Source organism: Homo sapiens, chromosome 22 (genome assembly GCF_000001405.40).
Source record: "Homo sapiens chromosome 22, GRCh38.p14 Primary Assembly".
In the NCBI taxonomy this organism is placed as follows: domain Eukaryota; kingdom Metazoa; phylum Chordata; class Mammalia; order Primates; family Hominidae; genus Homo; species Homo sapiens.
This window is the reverse complement of record NC_000022.11, coordinates 33,040,907-33,058,776: the sequence shown is the minus strand read 5'-3', so window position 1 is coordinate 33,058,776 and position 17,870 is coordinate 33,040,907. Positions and strand designations below refer to the sequence as shown.

At 46.8% G+C, this 17,870-nt stretch overlaps 1 protein-coding gene across 15 annotated transcripts in view, besides 2 other annotated features; it reads left to right on the top strand.

Annotated features, from left to right (window-relative positions):
* SYN3 (synapsin III) overlaps window positions 396-17,870 on the top strand; it is a 550,562-nt gene continuing 533,087 nt past the window's right edge. For 7 of the 15 annotated variants that reach the window (NM_001369909.1, NM_001369907.1, NM_001135774.2 and 4 more), the window contains exon 1: window positions 396-485. The gene's annotated coding sequence lies outside the window, so the exon portion shown is untranslated. Of the gene's footprint in view, window positions 1,617-6,232; window positions 6,553-17,870 lie in introns of those variants that run through there. The other 8 variants (XM_047441525.1, NM_001369908.1, XM_017028963.3 and 5 more) reach the window with 4 other exon arrangements.
* Window positions 3,958-4,650: an enhancer, noted in NCBI's record as "OCT4-NANOG hESC enhancer chr22:33450113-33450805 (GRCh37/hg19 assembly coordinates)". NCBI's record gives its function as "activates a minimal SCP1, AML or CMV promoter by ChIP-STARR-seq in naive and primed H9 embryonic stem cells {active_cell/tissue: H9 hESC(naive and primed)}" and the evidence as "EXISTENCE:reporter gene assay evidence [ECO:0000049][PMID:30033119]".
* Window positions 5,873-6,556: an enhancer, noted in NCBI's record as "H3K27ac hESC enhancer chr22:33448207-33448890 (GRCh37/hg19 assembly coordinates)". NCBI's record gives its function as "activates a minimal SCP1, AML or CMV promoter by ChIP-STARR-seq in primed H9 embryonic stem cells {active_cell/tissue: H9 hESC(primed)}" and the evidence as "EXISTENCE:reporter gene assay evidence [ECO:0000049][PMID:30033119]".

The following is a 17,870-nucleotide window of genomic DNA, read 5'->3' as shown; positions in this document are numbered from 1 at the left end:
GGCCCTAGGGCCTAGCCCACAACCTGGGACATTTCCTGACAAGGGGCCCTGGTTTCTCTGAGGTGCCACCTGAGGTCCGGGAGGTCAGCTGACTTTCCCAAAGGTGGATTCCAAGGACACTGCATTCTTCGCACTCCCCGAGGGGCGTCTAGACACTCCTGGGACCCAGAATTATTAGCTAACTGGGCTCCTGAGTCCGGTGAGAGCTCAGAGTCTAGAAGCAACTTTCCCTGCCTGGAGAGGTGAACCCAGCAAGGCGTTGGGGAGAGGCGTGGGCGAGGGAGTGGGCGCGGGTGGGCGGGGCCGTCCGGGGGCCTCGTTGCCCGAGCCAATGGGGCGCCGCGGCGCGGGGAGGCCGGGCCGCCGGGCGGGGGCGCTCGCGCGCGTTGAGGGGCAGAGGCTGAGCTCCCGGGACCCGGAGCGGATCGACTGGCGGGCGCCGCGCCGAGGCACCACCGGGCGCCGAGTTCCTGGCGGCTCGCACGGTAAGCGGCGCGGCGCCGCAAAGTAGACTTTGTGGGGTTTCTGACAGCCGGGAGACCCCACCTCGAGCGGGGGCTGCTGGTGCGTTCTCGCGTCGGGCTGCGTCCCCTGGAGCTCCGGCTCTGTGTCCGCGGGATGCGGGCGCACGGAGGGGCAGGGAGGGAGGCAAGGAGCCGCGCACCACGGTGTCTCCCCAGGCTGCCGCTGCCGGGGCCCTGGGCCGGTCCCTGGGACAGACAGATCGGCGTGCGGGGGCCGTCTGCCGGGCCCGGGAGCCGGGGGCGCGCAAGACTGTGGATCCTAAGACTGCCTCCACCCAGCGCCCGGCCCGGGGAAGAGCTTGCGGGAAACCAGGAACCGCAGCGGCCGGACCTCTGCTCTGCGCCGGCTCCTAGGACCTGCCTTAGGTCCCCAGACCCCTCATGACCTGTTGCCTTGGGTTTGGGAGGTCAGGTTTGTCATGCCATTTCCGATTTCCAGTCATCCTGGGGGCAGGATGAAATTTCAGAGTGGTTTCCTGGCCAAGCTAGAAGCAGAGAATAGCTATGGATACAGCACCTCGTGTATCTATCCAGCACTTACTTGGCTTTTTCTGAGTGCCAGGAACTGTGCCAAGCCCTAGCAGCATGAAGAATGGCCTTTGGGGAGCTTCTGGGGCTAAGAGGGACAGTAGGAGGAGCAATTGCAGTGCAGGGTAGTGCGGAAGACTCGAGATGGAGAAGAGGACGGTGAGGAAGCCAGGAAGGTTTCAGAGAGGAGGTGAGCATTGACTGGAAGTCGGAGGTTTTGCCAGGCTGAAAAGTGTGTTGGGACTGTGAGTTGATAGGGAGCAGGAATTCCAGGTGGGTTTTCTTGTGTAAAGGTAAAGAAACTGAAAAGGTCCGGTGTCCTGACCTAGCACATCAGATAATTCTACAGCAGATAATGGAGTAGGACCGGGTCTTGCTGTAGGTAGGAAATGAGCTCTCGACATGGCAGGAAGCTAAAACCTGCACAGACCTTAAAGTGCAGCCTTAGAATATTTAGAATTTTATCCTGGAATGAAGGAGGGCCGTGGAAGAATTCTGATCAGTGATCAGGTCCCTCTGGCAGCTCTGGGGACAATGGATGGAGGCCGGAGCATCAGAAAGCTGGTAAGTTGTAGTTGTTTTCTGGTCCTTGGCTGCAAATACTCTTCCCTGCTTAAGGGAGCCCCCTCTGCCCGGGAGCCCTGCTCCCTGGCTTCTGGACATGGATTCAGGCAAAGAGATGCTGCCCGTGTAATGCTTGCTTCTGCAGCCTGCACATCATTTTGATATTGTTTCTGGAGCCTGTGACCTCAGTCTTGTCATCAGGCCTCTGAAGGGTGCCTCTGCTCTTCTTTTCTCATCTTCAAGCCCTCTGTGTGCCCTTCCCCTCTGCCTGGGCTCCCCTTTCTGTTTCACAGAGATCCAGTCTCAGCCATTGGAGGCAAGGCTGTGTGTAGATTGGTGTAGTAGAAAGAACAAGGGCTCGCTGGGAAATCAGACCAGAAAGTCACTTTAGCCATAGGCTTTGGGGACATTAGCAACCTTCATGAACCTTCTTTTTCTGATTTAAAAGGAAATCATTGTACTCACCTGTCATGGTTTGGGTTCCCTGGAAAAAGACTTGGCGCTTCTGAGATTTTTGTGCAGATAAGGGAAGCAGAACTGGGCAGAGGGAGATGTTGATCTATGGTGCAGTGCAAGAGAGGTCTCAATCCCTCCCATGAGACAAAGAGACGAGGCCTTTGAAGCTTAATGTTGATCAGCCAGTGGGTGCAGGCTGGTCCTAGGGAGGGAGCTAGGATGTCCCTTCAGCAGGACAGTTCCTGACTAGGGACTCACCTGGGAGCTGGGGTAACCAACACTCTGGCAGCTGGACATGGGGAAGTCATGAGTGTCTTGGTCTTGGAGGGGGAGTTGAGCATTTCCCCACGGTATCCACTACACTACCTCACAAATGAAGTAGTGCTTTGTACTGTGCCTGGTGCATAGTAGATATCTTAAAAGTATTCATTTCTCTCACCTTTAAGTTTCATGACTGCACCTGAAAATGAGTTTTGGAATTCGAGTTGAGTCAGCTTTTGTGAGGAGCTTTTAATAATAATAGCCACGAAGACTACTGCTTCCCTTTTTTGAGTGTCTATTATGTATATACATTCTCTTCTAGTTGTCCAATAATACTCCAACTTAGGTACTTTTATTCTCATTTTATAGTAAACCCAGTCTCTTCCAAAACCCAACCAAGTTGATGTTCTTTTGCCACAAAATAATAATTATAATAATAACAATCACTCACAACTCTATGATTTGTTACACTTTCCAAAGTGCTTTCATTGGTGGATTGATTGATTAATCATTCATTCATCCACTAATTAATCAATCAATGTGTATTGAGTGTCTCTTAAGGAGTAGGCGCTATCCTAGGTGATGGGGAGAAAGCTCAGTCTATTAGAGGAGATAGACATTAAATGCTTGGATTCATCAAAAGCAAGTGTTGAGGGGTGGAACATTGCATTGCATAGCCAGTATGTGATAGAGAATAACAGGCTCTTTGTCCAATTGACTCCTTGCCTTCAGTTTCAATATAACCTTCTTGGAAAGGCCTTCTGTACTCCCTCCCTTTTATTCTCCCTTCGTAACAGTCATTTATCTATTTTATTTACTTTCCTATTGTTGGTCCTCCCCTTTAGACTGCAGACTCCAGGGGATCATACATTGCTTCATCCCAAGAGCCTACCACAGGGTTTAGCACATATTTCTTAAATGAGTGAAATGAATGAAGGGTGGATGTGCTTAACAGTGTAGTCAGGGAAGGTCTCCCAAAGTAGTGATATTTACACTGAGATCTGGGGAATGAGAAAGATCCGGCAACGCCAAGATCAAGAGGCAGAGAGAACAGCTTATTCAAAGACCGCGAGGTGGAGGAATGGAGGCTATTGTGGTTGGAGCGCATAGTGGGCAAATTGTGTGGAGTGGCCCGAGATGAGTTTGAAGGCAGTGGAGTCTTGGAGGCCATGCTGAGCTTACATTTTTATCTAAAGTGCAACAAACGAATCATTGAAGGATTTTAAGCCTGATGTGATAGTGTATATTTGTGTGTTGTCTGTTATGCCTCTGGGAGGAGAACTCCTTGAAGAAAGGTGCTTAGTAAATAGTGCTTAAATGAATGGATGATCTGGTTTATGTTTTAAAAGGAGTCAATCTCAGCTTCCAGGTGAGAAGTGGAATAGAGAGAAGAAAGATCTTGTCACAGTTGGAAGCTCAGTGAGATATATATTGGTGTCTGGGCTAGAGGACAGCAATAGTGTTGGAGAAAAGTAAAAGGGTTTGAGCTCTATTTAGGAAGCAAAATGGACAGGACTTGCTGATACTTTAAATGCAGGGAATATGGGAAAAGGGTGGGGATGAAGGATGGTGGCCAGCCTTATGGTTTCAGATTGGTTGGCTACTGAAAGTCTGGCAGCTCCATCAGTAAGTGACTGAATAAACAAAATGTAGTATAACATACAATAGAATGTTACTCAGCCATAACAAGGAGTGAAGTACTAATACATGCTGCAATGTGGATGAACCTTAAAAATGCTATGTGAAAACGTGGTTTAAAAGCCAGACACAAAAGGTTACATAGTGTATGATTCCCTTTATGTGAAGCATCCAGAATAGGTCAATCCATAGAGACAGAAAACAGATTGGTGTTTGTGCTGATCTGAGGGGGAAGTGGGACTGGGGCTTGACTGCTTAATGGCTAAGTGGTTTCCTTTTGAGGTGATGAAAATGTTTTGGAACTAGATAGAGGCGACAGTTTGTACATCATCATGAGGATAGTAAATGCCACGCATTGTTAGTTTAAAATGGCTAGCTTTTAGTTATGTAAATTTCACCTAATTAAAAAAACAAACAAACAAAAGTTGGGTGGATGGGAGCACTATTCACATAACAGAGACTAGGCGAGGAGCAGGTTGTGCTTAGAGGATACAATTCAAATACCCTCTTGGAGATGCCCGTAAAACATCCACATAGAGACAGGAATTGGCTGTGAGTCTGGAGTCGAGGAGGGGAGTCTGGGCTGGAGATATAAATATGGCAGTTGTCAGCACTTAGATGTCAGCCAATAAAATGGATGAGTTCGAGTGTGAGAGAGAGAGGAGGAGAAAATCAGAGCTTTGGATCATTCTTTAATTTGATCTTTATAACTATTCATAGGAGATGCGATTGTCCTCATTTTTAGATAAGGACACCAACCCCCTCTCCCGTGTCCAAACGAACTTGCCCAAAATCAGTTCGTTCCTGTGAGTCTCCAGACTTCCAATCCTTTGTCTTTCCCATCTCAGTGTGATGCCATTTAGAACTTCGGCAAACACTTTCTCTCCCAAATCTTTTGGTCATGATTGAGTATTCACACGTGGCAGGCACTGTCCAGGTTTATGTTAGTGGAGAAAGTAGACATGGCTCTAATCTCATGGAGTTTATCCAGTAAACAGGAAACTGCAGCCCACAACTCCAGGAGACCTTAAGATCACAGAGCAGGGGCATCTATCCCTGGTTTGGGGGTTGGCGGGTGGTTGGGGAAGGCTTCCAAGAGATAGTGATGTTTAAGCTGAATTTGTAACAGAAGCAGAGGGAATTAGCCCAAGAAAGAGAATAATCCACCATTGTCTTCATTTCCCCGTTCCTCCCAGGTTCCTGGCATTCTCCAACTCATCAAGAGAGTCTATGTTTTCTGTAACTCTAGAGGCAATAAGTAAATAAAAGGCTTGGTTTGACTTCAAGCGGGAGCTTCAAAAGGGTAGCAAGGTCGGGTCCCAACAGCCTGTCTTTCAAAGCAAGGCTCCATCTCTTGCTCAACTGACTTATCCTTTTTTTTGAAACGGAGTCTCGCTCTGTTGTGCCCAGGCTGGAGTGCAATGGCGTGATCTTGGCTCACTGCAACCTCCGCCTCCTGGGTTCAAGTGATTCTCCTGCCTCAGCCTCCGGAGTAGCTGGAATTATAGGCACCCGCCACCGCACCCGGCTAATTTTTGTATTTTTAGTGGAAACGGGGTTTCACCATGTTGGTCAGGCTGGTCTCGAACTCCTGATCTCAGGTGATACACCCACCTCGGCCTCCCAAAGTGTTGGGATTACAGGTGTGAGCCACTGCGCCCGGCCGACTCAGCCTCTCTTAACCTGACTTTTTATACTTGGGATATGGAGCCATTGTTCAGTGCAGGAAATAAATGAGATGATGTAGCAAAGTGTTGGATACATGAAAAATGCTCAGAAAAATGTTATCTTGTTTGGAGAGGAAGACTTTCTGAGTTGATCAGTGGTTGCCACACTCTGTACACTATTTATAATACAGCTATCCATGCTCCCTTTGTAGGTTCTGATTTAGATGGGTTGAAATGAAAAATGATGATCTGTATGTTTAGAAAGCATCCTGGATGATTCTGATAAAAGCAAGTTCAGGAACCATTGGTTTAGACCAAATCCTCTTTGCTCTGATGAGCATGAAAGGGTTAAGCACCTAGAAGCAGAATTTTGCCTTCTAGGAATTATTAGCCAATGACGGTGCTGACCGATGATGTAATGTCTTTGGCTGGTGCTCCATTGGTTAAGTGTATTGTTTCTCTTGCTTCAGCTATTTGAGGAGCAGAGCTGGAGCACAAGGGTTAATAATTTTGTGGAAGCAGTTAGAGCTCTCTCTCTCTCTTTTTTTTTTTTTTGTTCCTCTTCTGCTAGGTGTGAGTATACAGCAGGGCCCTGCAGATTGTTGCCCTTCTCCTTCCAACAAACATCCACACTCTCCTTACACATCCATACTCTCCTCCTTTCCTCCTCCCAAACAGAGCACATGTGTCCGTAGTACTACGGAGGAGGAGAAGGAGGAGGAGGAGGAGAAAGAAGAGGAGGAGGAGGAGGATTCTTTAGAGAAGAGATTTCAAAGTTCCACACTGCAGTCTCTTACTGCAGTCTCTCCTTGCCACCGGGGACGGGCACAGCCCCAGGTCCCTCTGAATGAATTGCTAAACTGCCACCTGCTTCTGAGCATTGTTCAACCTGGCAGAATCCTTAGAACCAGGAGGTGAGCCCAAGGTTTTGGAAGAGGGAGTGGGCCTGGTGGGAAGGAGCCGTGGGGTGCGGGGAGGACTAGCTCTAGACTGAAGGTCAGGTGCAAGCTCAAGCCAGTGGCTGCCGCTGACTTGTGATATGAGCTTGGGCAGGATGGTCTCCCTCTCTGGGTCTGTTTGCCAAAGTGCACGATGTGAGGCTTGGATTAGGGCCTTCCTAATCCAAGTTTTAGCAGACACTGTCTAGGGAGTGTGCTCACCAGGAGCTACAAGGAAGCGTGTTCTTGGTGTAGCTTTCTGTCAGATACTCCCTGAAGATACACGCTTTCTTTTGGGAATCTGGGCAGGAGGGGAGCTCGTCAGGTTATCCCTGTATCTCTGAAACCACTTCTAATCTGGTTCCTCCTTATATTGTCTGAGCTCCCTCTAGAGCACTCCGGCTCAGTCCAGTGGCCCTTGTAGAATCTGGGCTGAGGTTTCTCCAGAGACTCTTGAATGGTCTCATGGATTTTGATCATGTCATTTGGGGGGACCTTTGGGTCCCTGACCCTTGGTTGTTTGTGTGCCTTAATGTATTTGGGCACTTTTCTAGGTGTCCCAGGCTGGGGCTCTTAGGGGTGAGGAGAGGAATTCTTTTTGTATTATGGATAGTGTAACTGTGATTTTTTTTTTGTTTGTGTTTAATGGGAAATGGATTATTGCCTCTACCTAAAACTTCTCACCTTGTCCAGAAAGGGTCCCAATGTAGGCATGTGTGCCTCAAGATGTAAACTGAAATGAGTAGATGTGGGGAAGGGAGAGGGGAGCAGAGCAGCTGAGGAAAACTGCTAGCAAGAACCACTGACCTTCATTTCATAAGTAATTCAAGAAATCCTTGCCTTTCATAGACACACTGCGATCCTGGCTATCTCTTGCGGTCCTCCAAAGATATACAGAAATAGAAAATTTTTCTATTTTTAATTTTTCAGAATTGGGTTATAAGTGATGGGTTCTCAATTTTGGAGAATGAGGCCTACAAAGGGTTATCTTTGTGTCTTGTGTGGTCCTTGGTGTTTGCCACCCTGTGTTCTAGGCCAGGCTTGCTGATGTAGGTCCTTGAGCAAGTCACCGAACGTTTCTGAGCCTCAGTTCTCTCCCTTGTAAATCGCAGAGGTAGAAAGGAGTTGGACTTGCTGATTTTTGCAGCCCTTCTAGGTCTGGCCACCTGGGCTTCAGATTACTATAAGCCTTTGGAATTTGAATATGTTGATGAAGTGGGCTCAGTGGGTAAAGAATGTTTGAATAAAGGGATACACGGCATATGTCCTCTAGGTACTGGGTGCTTTATACGGGTTTTAATTTATTTCATCATCCGAGCTGCGCTGGTAGTGGGTAAAATTAACCCCACTCTGCAGATGTGCAAATCAAGGCTAAAGGAGGTTGAGTGACTTGTCCAAGATGATCCACTTGCTCAGTGGCAGGGCTGGTATTTAGAGCTGTGCAGGCAGATGTACTGAGGGAGGGATCCATGGCAGGATAATGGTGGGGCTGGAGCAGGAATCTTTTGTCTGCCTTTGTTTCCTTGCATGCTGTTTCTGTACTAGAAGTCATGTGCTGGTTTTGAGATAAACTAGCTCAGCCAGGTCACTGTAGCTTATCCACTCACTGTCTGGGACCACAGAAGATTGGAGGACCCTGGTTCTGAAAGGGATCTTACAGTTCTTTGGATCAAGCTCCTCAATTTGTTTTGCTTTGTTTTGTTTTTTTTTTTTTTTTTTTTGAAACAGTCTCGCTCTGTCACCCAGGCTGGAGTGCGGTGGCATGATCTCAGCTCACTGCAACCTCCACCTCCCAGGCTCAGAGATTCTCATGTCTCAGCCTCCCGAGTAGCTGGGACTACTGACGTGCACCACCACGCCCGGCTAATTTTTTGTATTTTTAGTAGAGATGGGGTTTCAATATGTTGGCCAGGCTGGTCTTGAACTCCTGACCTCAAGTGATCCACCTGCCTCAGCCTCCCAAACTGCTGGGGTTACAGGTGTGAGCCACTGTGCCTGGCCAAGCCCCTCAATTTGTAGCTGAGAAAATGGAGGTCCACAGAAGTTAGGGGATTTGTTTCATGTCACTTGATGAGTTGACAGATGGGAAGAAATGGACACAAAGACTCCCTGTCTTAGGTGTTTGGAGTTGTATTTTTATAACTTTTTTTTTTAAGAAAAAATAAAACAACAACACTCATTCATTTGAGACACATGGGGTGAGTGAGTTGCATTTAGTTATTCTCACCTCCAGGCCCCTTTCCAGTGCCAAAAGATTGGAGTAGGCTTATGGAAAACCTCCTCTGCTTGGCTTTGTGGCTGGTGTCTGAGACACAGAGGGCAACAGGCAAGCTGAGTATGAGACCTGGTCACTTTCCTTGAGCAGGCTCAGGCTGTGTTTCCTGGGGTCTTCTAGCTCACAGGTTAGCAGTCCTTCCCAATGGATGGGCTGAGACCCTGACCCTTTCCTCCTGCGTGCGGCTGGCACCGAATCTGTGCCACTGTAAGAGTAGTTGCCACATGCCGTGTGGTTTTTGTTCTTTGTCTTCCCGACTAAGAGGCATGCTTCCAGAGCGTAGCTCCCAAAATATTGAATTTAATTAATTGGTGGAGCTGCCTAATGGGGAGGCGGGTATCAATAGCTTGGACGAGCACCCAGAATAAAAACCATCCCGTGGTTATTAAAAAGCACAGTGCAGATACTTGACCCTTTTCATGATCACTATAGCATTAAGAAAGTCTCACCCAAATAACAGGCTTCAGAAATTCAAATTATTATCATAGGAAAGAGGAGTTATAATTATTCTGCAGGGCTGGAGGGCAAAGCTAGCTGCAGCAGTGGAATTTGGAGAAAAGCCGATAGCAGATAGAGGAAGAACGTGCTGGTAGTGGAGTTGTCCAGCAGGGGGAGCCCACCTTCCAAGGCCCTGTCATCATTGAAGCCCTGGCAAGGAGTGGAACTTGGCAATCTGTAACTTCCTTTCTAGAGCTAACATTTCTTGATTATCTATCAAGCGGGAGTAAATTAGAGGAAGCTAAGGGTACAGCAACACTGTGTCTTACTCATTTTTTAGGCTCTAAACCCATTGTATGGTGTGAAAATCATGTGTAGCCAAAAATACCCTAAATATATTTTAATGGTCAGAAAGTTGCATTATACATGGTTTTTGTGTATGAAACCCTGAATAGTAATTCCCTGTGCTATCCAGTGTGCAAAACTCTGGCCTACAGCAAAAGAAGTAGAAAAAGAAGGTCAAAAAAGAAGTTGTCTGCATCTTCATGCTGCTCTGTTTTTAAGGTAACTGTCAAATCTCTAGGGCATGGGGTGAAGGAGAGGGAATTCTTAGGAGTATGTATTTGCTTGCAAGGTTTCCGTCATTCAGTTTGGATAAACAGCCTCTAATACCTTCATACATGTTGTTTCAGTCCATTTTGCATTGCCATTAAGGAATACCTGAGACTGGGTAATTTATAAAGAAAAGAGGTTTATTTGGCTCAAGGTTCTGCAGGCTGTACAAGCATGGCACCAGCATCTGCTCAGCTTCTGGTGAGGCCTCAGGAAGCTTTAACTCATGGCAGAAGGCGAAGGGGTAACAGGCATATCACATGGTGAGAGAGAGAGCAACAGAGAGAGGAGTACGTGCCAGGCTCCTATTAACAACCAACTCTTGTGTGAACTAATAGGGCAAGAACTCACTCATCACCAAGGGGAGGACACCAAGCCATTCATGAGGGATCCACCCCCATCACCAAAACACCTCCCAGCAGGCCCCACCTTCAATACTGGGGATCACATTTCAAAAATATTTTTGAGGGTATTTTTAGCTACACATGATTTTCACACCATACTATGGGTTTAGAACCTAAAGAATGAATAAGATGCAGTGTTGCCATACCCTCATGCTATTTGGAGAAGGCAAACATCCAAATTATATCACGTTAATAGTTTTTTTTTTAACAATAATGAAAATTAAATGAGATAATATATGTGGAAACCTCCAGCCCAGGAAATGTTGCTGTATGGTAGGTGTTCAGTAATATTTGCTGGAAGGTAATCAGCATATTGCTTCAGCAGACTGGTCCATGCTGGTCTTTGAAACATTTTAGAGAAGAAACTGGCCACTAGTGTCCAGGTGTTGGTCGGTGTTTTCTACTTGAGGTTGGCATGTTCTGCCTGCCTCCTCCGGACAGTATTCATTCTCATGCCCCTGAATATTGCTTCTAAAGTCCAAAGTGGAAAAAGAATGGAGTTGAAGGCAACACAGACCTGAGTTCAAAATGCCAGACATCGCTGTGTGACATCGGTCATGTTACCTAACCTCTCTGTGTTGGTTCCTTTTTTTTTTTTTTTTTTTTTTGCACATGAAAATGGGACTAATAGGTCTAACCTTGAAGGATAAGAGGATTAAGAGAGAACCCTCAGAGTGCCAGGAACCTGTAGAGCAGGTGTTCTGTAAATGCTCATGTATTCATTCTCCTTGGAAAGGTGTTACAGAGAGGTGTTTTTATTATTTTTTTTTTCTTTCTTCAATCTTACCTCAAACTTCTTTGTTCACATTAGTGGCACTTCTGGATAGCTTTCTGCAAGCCCTCAGGAAACCCCACATGACATTACTCTAAGAATGCTGTCCTTATAGCCTGGCACCTCCTGCCAGTTTTCTAATCAAGCACCAGAAAGCTGCACTTAGAAGGGAGATGTTGAACTTAACACATTTTTTGAAAGCACCAACAGCTGAATTAAATGTTCGGGGCTAGGACTGCTTTACTCAGGGGCCACGTAGGCAGGTGATTTGAGGGGTGATACAAAGAAATTTTTGAGTCAAAGTATGGCTCCACGTTGAAAGCATTGGGAGTTTCATTATTGAGTGTTCGTCTCTTGGGTGTGCTCATTCATTCATTCAACAAATATTATGGAGTTTTAATCCTGTGATAGGCAGATTCTAAGTGCTGGGGATGTATTGGTGACTAGTACAGATAAGGTTACCCTCATGCATCTTATATTCTCAGAGGAAAGGTAGAAAATAACCACAAAACAAATATATTATATGATGCCACTTAGTAATGAGTGCCATGAAGAAAAACGAAACAGTATGAGGGAAATACTATTATAGATACTATTATAGAAAAGTCAGTTAAAGAAGACCTGTGTAAGGAGTAAATATTTCAGTAGAGCCGTGATGTTTGGGAGTGAGTTTTGGAAATACCTGTAGAAAAGAGTACCTGGCAGAGAGAACAGCAGATGGACCTCAGGACAGGTAAGAGGTGGGGGAAGGGAGAGTTGGAGAAGATGTCTTCAGAGAGGTTCCCAAAGCCAGGCCTGGTGGGAACTCATGGGCTGTGGAAAGGAGTTTGGATTTTTTTTTTTTTTTTTTTTTTTTTTAAACAGAGACTTGCTCTGTTGCCCAGGCTGGAGTGCAGTGGTGTGGTCTCACCTCACTGCAACTTCCGCCTCCCAGCTTCAAGCTAGTCTCCTGCCTCAGCTTCCCGAGTAGCTGGGATTACAGATGCCTGCCACCACACCCAGCTAATTTGTTTGTATTTTTAGTAAAGACAGGGTTTTACCATGTTGGCCAGGCTGGTCTCGAGCTCCTGACCTCGTGATCCACCTGCCTCGGCCTCCCAAAGTGCTGGGATTCCACCTCGCCCAGCTAATTTTTTGTATTTTGGGTAGAGACGAGGTTTTATCATGTTGGACAGGCTGGTCTCGAACTCCTGACCTTGTGATCCGCCTGCCTCGGCCTCCCAAAGTGCTGGGATTACAGGTGTGAGCCACTGCACACAGCCAGGTTGTTTCTAGTTTTTAAGGATTGTGACTAAAGCTGCTATAAACATTTGTATTTAGGTTTTTGTGTGGATGTGAGTTTTTGCTTCTCTAAGGTAAATACCCAAGAGTTGGATTGCTAGGATATGTGCTAAGTTTACATTTAACTTTATAAGAAACTTCCAAACTAATTTCTAGAGTGGCCATGTCATTTTGCATTTCCATCAACAACGTATGAAAGTTCCAGTTGCTCTGCATTGGAATCAGTAGTTGGCGTGGTTGGTATTTTTTATTTTAGCCGTCTTTATAGTTTAGTGCTATCTCAATGGTTTAATTTGCATTTCCCTAATTTGCTAATTATGTTGAATATCTTTTCAAGTGTATATTTACCATTCCTATATTCTCTTTGGCGAAGTGTCTGTTCAGGTCTATTACACGTTTTTTGTTTTTTTTTTTAATTGCTTTTTTTATTGTTGAGCTTTTAGCATTCTTTATATACCAGTACTTTCTTGGATATGTGACTTGCAAATATTTGACATGTTTTTAGAGAATCATTCTGAATGCTGTGTATTAAGAGAGCCATAGTGGGGGAAAGGTGGGAGCTATAGGATCAGTGAGTGGGTCATTGTGGTAGTTAATGGGGGAGAGATGATGATGGGCTAGACTAAGGTCCTTGGGGTGAAAGAAGTGAGAAGTGGTTAAAAAAGAATTTCTTTTTTGAAAGTAGGCCCAGCACTTTGGGAGGCCGAGGTGTGCGGATCACAAGGTCAGGAGATCGAGACCATCCTGGCTAACACGGTGAAACTCTGTCTCTACTAAAAATACAAACAAATTAGCTGGGTGTAGTGGCGGGCGCCTGTAGTCCCAGGAGAGGCTGAGGCAGGAGAACGGCATGAACCCGGGAGGCAGAGCTTGCAGTGAGCTGAGATCATGCCACTGCACTCCAGCCTGGGCGACAGAGCGAGACTCCATCTCAAAAAAAAAAAAAAAAAAAAAAAAAAGAAAGTAGAGCCACCTGGTTGATGAATGAGATGTGGAATATGAGGGAAAAGAGACGGTGAGAGTAGTAACATACCTGGAGATGTTGAGAATTTAAATATAAATCAGGCAAGGTTTCTATCCTCAAGTGGCTCCCAGTCTGGAGAGAGGAGATTTACTCTAAGCAGTTCACCTGGAACACAGCCAGGTGTGCTGTCACAGGTCATGTGCAAAGTATCAGGGGAGCAGAGGTGAGGGCCAAATTACTAAGTGTCAGGTTTGCAAGGCTAGCTGTCTGGACAGCTGCTTTCAAACTGTAATGTATTTAAGAATCATCTGGGGCTGGGCGCGGTGGCTCATGCCTGTAATCCCAGCACTTTGGGAGGCCAAGGCGGGCAGATCACCTGAGGTTGGGAGTTCGAGAACAGCCTGACCAACATGGAGAAACCCTGTCTCTACTAAAAGTACAAAAATTAGCCGGGTGTGGTGGCACATGCCTGTAATTCCAGCTACTTGGGAGGCGGAGGCAGGAGAGTCGCTTGAACCCGGGAGGCAGAGGTTGTGGTGAGCCGAGATCATGCCATTGCACTCCAGCCTGGGCAACAAGAGCGAAACTCCATCTCAAAAAAAAAAAAAAAGAAGAATCATCTGGGAAGGTTGTTAAAAATGCAGGTGGCTAGGCCCTGATCCCTCAAGTAGGAGACCTGTAGTTAGCAAGCACCAGAAATAATTCTGTGTAGGTGATTGGTTGAAACCACTATGAGAAACCCTAGGGGGAGCTGGGGAGAGTTCACAGAAAAGGTGATGTTTGAAATGGGATTTCAGCATTTAGTAGGAATTCCGACTTGGAGAAAGTTGGAGAAATGACAACCAGGCAGAGGCACAAGCAGAAGCGAAGGTCTGGAATAAGGTTAGAGAATGGCTAGAGGCTAGAATAAGCTTATGTTGGGTGAGGTGATGAGGATTGATCAAAGAGCACGTGTCTGTTTAGGGATGGGATGGGAGTCACTTGACCTCCTGTGCTCAATGAGTCTGTGAGTCTAAAGTGATTGAAGCAATTCATCAGCTCCTCAGTTATTAACAGGGGGCCTGCCATGGTGAAATACACCAGGCAGTCCAAGAGCCACGTGGACAGAATGTCTGTTGTGCTGTCAAAGTCTCACGTGACTAGGCATGTTTGAGGAAAGCTACTGCTACAGTGAACCAGCTGGCTGGAGGTGGTGTGTTGGCAGAAGATTGGTGGAAGAACGCACTGTACCTAGTACCGCTTTGGGCCTGCGTTGAAGCTCACAGACTCCACATCTTCTTTTTGTACATCATCCTGCCCACTTTTCGAGCATGCTGCAGCCACATCTTCCTGTGGCCTAACTGCTAGGTTGTTGCATCCTCACTGTGTGCAAAGCATAGTTCAATGCACTTTTTTTTTTTTTTGAGACAGAGTCTCACTCTGTCATCAGGATGGTGTGCAGTGGCACAATCTCGGCTCACTGCAACCTCTGCCCCCCAGGTTGAAGCGATTCTCCTGCCTCAGCCACCCGAGTAGCTGGGACTACAGGTGCATACCACCACGCCCAGCTAATTTTTCTATTTTTAGTAGAAACGGTGTTTCACCATGTTGGCCAGGATGGTCTCGATCTCTTGACCTCATGATCTGCCTGCCTCGGCCTCCCAAAGTGCTGGGATTACAGGCGTGAGCCACTGCGCCTGACCCAGTTCAATGCACTTTATGTGGCTTAATTCACTTAATTCTCACCACAAGCTTATGGACGAGTTAGAATTATTATCTCTGTTTTACGATGAGCAAACAAAGACACAGAAGGATGAATGACTGGCCCAATGTAACAGAGCTAAGAAACAGAATTGCTGGGATATTAACCCAGGTAGTTTTGACTTCATGGCTTGTGCTTTTATTTATTATATTATTATTATTTTTTGAGATGGAGTTTCACTCTTGTTGCCCAAGCTGGAGTGCAATGGCGTGATCTCAGCTCACTCCAACCTCCATCTCCCGGGTTCAAGCCATTCTCCTGCCTCAGCCTCCTCAGTAGCTGGGATTACAGGTGCCCGTGACCGCACCCAGCTAATTTTTGTATTTTTAGTAGAGACGGGGTTTCGCCATGTTGGCCAGGCTGGTCTTGAACTACTGACCTCAGGTGATCCGCCCACCTCGGCCTCCCAAACTGCTGGGATTATAGGCGTGAGCCACTGTGCCCAGCTCTTGCTTGTGCTTTTAAACAGTATGCCGCACTAACCTTGTAGGGGCATCTTTAGAGTATGAGAAGGAGGAGAAGCAGTAGCAGCAGCAACAACATACATAAGGTACTTACTATAGACCAGTCACTAGCTTATGTGGTATTCTTAGAGTTAGTCCCAGTAAGGACTATTTCAATAATACACTTTTATGTTCTAAAGATTTTTCTTTTTGATGTTAGTCCTTGGGTTGAAACTTTCTATTTTTCTTCCTTCTTGTCTGGTTAATAACAAAAGGGTATATGGCCTGTGAGACTTGAAAGAGCAGTAGGAAGTGTGAGAATATCATGGGAGCAGGGAGGCAGAAGCTCCGGAACATCCCCAGGGCTTCCACCTGCAGCTCAGGGATCCTTTGGCCAGGGCTTCATGGAGCACTACTTTAGCTAATCATGGCACAGTTTAGGGGTGGGAGAGCTGCTCAGTTCTAACCTGACTCCTACTCAAGATTCCTAACCTGACTCTTCTGTTACATAGGATGACTGGCTGCCTTGGATTGGGTGGCGGGGGGCTCCAGGATCGTCGGATTTCTCCTTCCACTCCTGGCTGCCTCTTTAATAAAGTAGGGTGCAGCAGCATGCTGGGGACAGGAGCAGGTGGGACCCAGTGTCAACTGCCCTTTAGAGTGGTTGTTCTATGTGAGACTGTTTGCTGTTACGAGAAAGGGCCCTGGATTACTATGTTTTTAGAGCTCTTCAAAATCTTTCTCTCCACTTTCTCTTCAAGCAGCCAGTGTACTTTCTTCCAGCAAGATTCTTTCTGATTTACCACGTCCGTTTGGCTAAAGTCTGGGAAAACAAATGATGAAATATACGTGTATTGTTTACTAAGGAAGAATCATGTGACTAAAGGGCTTTGCTTCTTTTTGTAAGGTTTAGAGAGAGGTGCTGTAGACAGGTGGGTCTGGGGGCCTTTCCTGCCCCTGACCCCCACACTTTTATTTCCAAGTTCTCAACTGTGTTGGCTCTTAGTCAGTTTGGGCTGTTATAATAAACTACCACAGACTGGGTAGCTTAAACAAGAGACAGTTCGGGAGGCTGGGAAGTCTGAGATCAGGGTACCAGACTGGTCAGGTTCTGCTTGAGGGCCCTTTTTCCTGGTTTGCAGATGAGAGAGGAAACGACCTCTGTGTCTTTTCTTGTAAATGCATTAACCCCATCATGAGGGCTCTATCCTTGTGACCTAATCAGCTTCCAAAGGCCTCATCTCTAAATACCATCACGTTAGGGATTGCGGTTTTAACATATGAATTTGGGGGACACACACATTCAGTCCTTAGCAGCTGAGTGGTTTAGTTTGCTGCACAGCAGTCCTCCAGGTAATGCAGGAGTACAGCATGATCTGGGAGAGAGGTTTGAGCTTTCCTTTGGCAGGGGGAGAGAGGGAGTACCTGGGAGGCTTCCTGAGCAAGCTAATATCTGAGCTGGGTTTTGAAAGATGCTTGGAGCTCATTAATCCAATGGGGTGGGGAGGGATTTTGGAGTGAATGAAAAAGGATGGCATTCCAGGAAGCAGACACAGCATGTGCAGAGGCATGACATGCATGGCAGGTAAGAGGATAAGTGTCAGTGAGCTACTGTGCAAGGATGCCCTAGTGGGAGATGAAGCTGGCACAGGTTAGAAAGAGTTCCTAGTGCAGGCCGGGCATGGTGGCTCATGCCTGTAATTCCAGCACTTTGGGAGGCCGAGACGGGCGGATCACAAGGTGAGGAGATCGAGACTCATCCTGGCTAACACGGTGAAACCCCATCTCTACTAAAAATCCAAAAAAATATTAGCTGGGTGTGGTGGCGGGCACCCAGCTGTAGTCCCAGCTGCTCGGGAGGCTGAAGCAGCAGAATGGCGTGAACCTGGGAGGTGGAGCTTGCAGTGAGCCGAGATCGCGCCACTGCACTCCAGCCTGGCGACAGAGCAAGACTCCGTCTCAAAAAAAAAAAAAAAGAAAGAGTTCCTAGTGCTACATGGGAGCTTTGGACATTGTATTAGTTCACTGTCATGCTGCTAATAAAGGAGTACCCAGGCTGGGCCCAGTGACTCACGCCTGTAATCCCAGCCCTTTGGGAGGCCGAGGCAGGCAGACCATGAGGTCAGGAGATCGAGACCATCCTGGCCAACATGGTGAAAACCCATCTCTACTAAAAATACAAAAGAAAATTAGCTGGGGATGGTGGCGCATGCCTGTAATCCCAGCTACTCGGGAGGCTGAGGCAGGAGAATCGCTTGAACCAGGGAGTTGGAGGTTGCAGTGAGCCGAGATCATGCCACTGCACTCCAGCCTGGCAACAGAGCAAGACTCTGTCTCAAAAAAAAAAGACATACCCAAGACTGG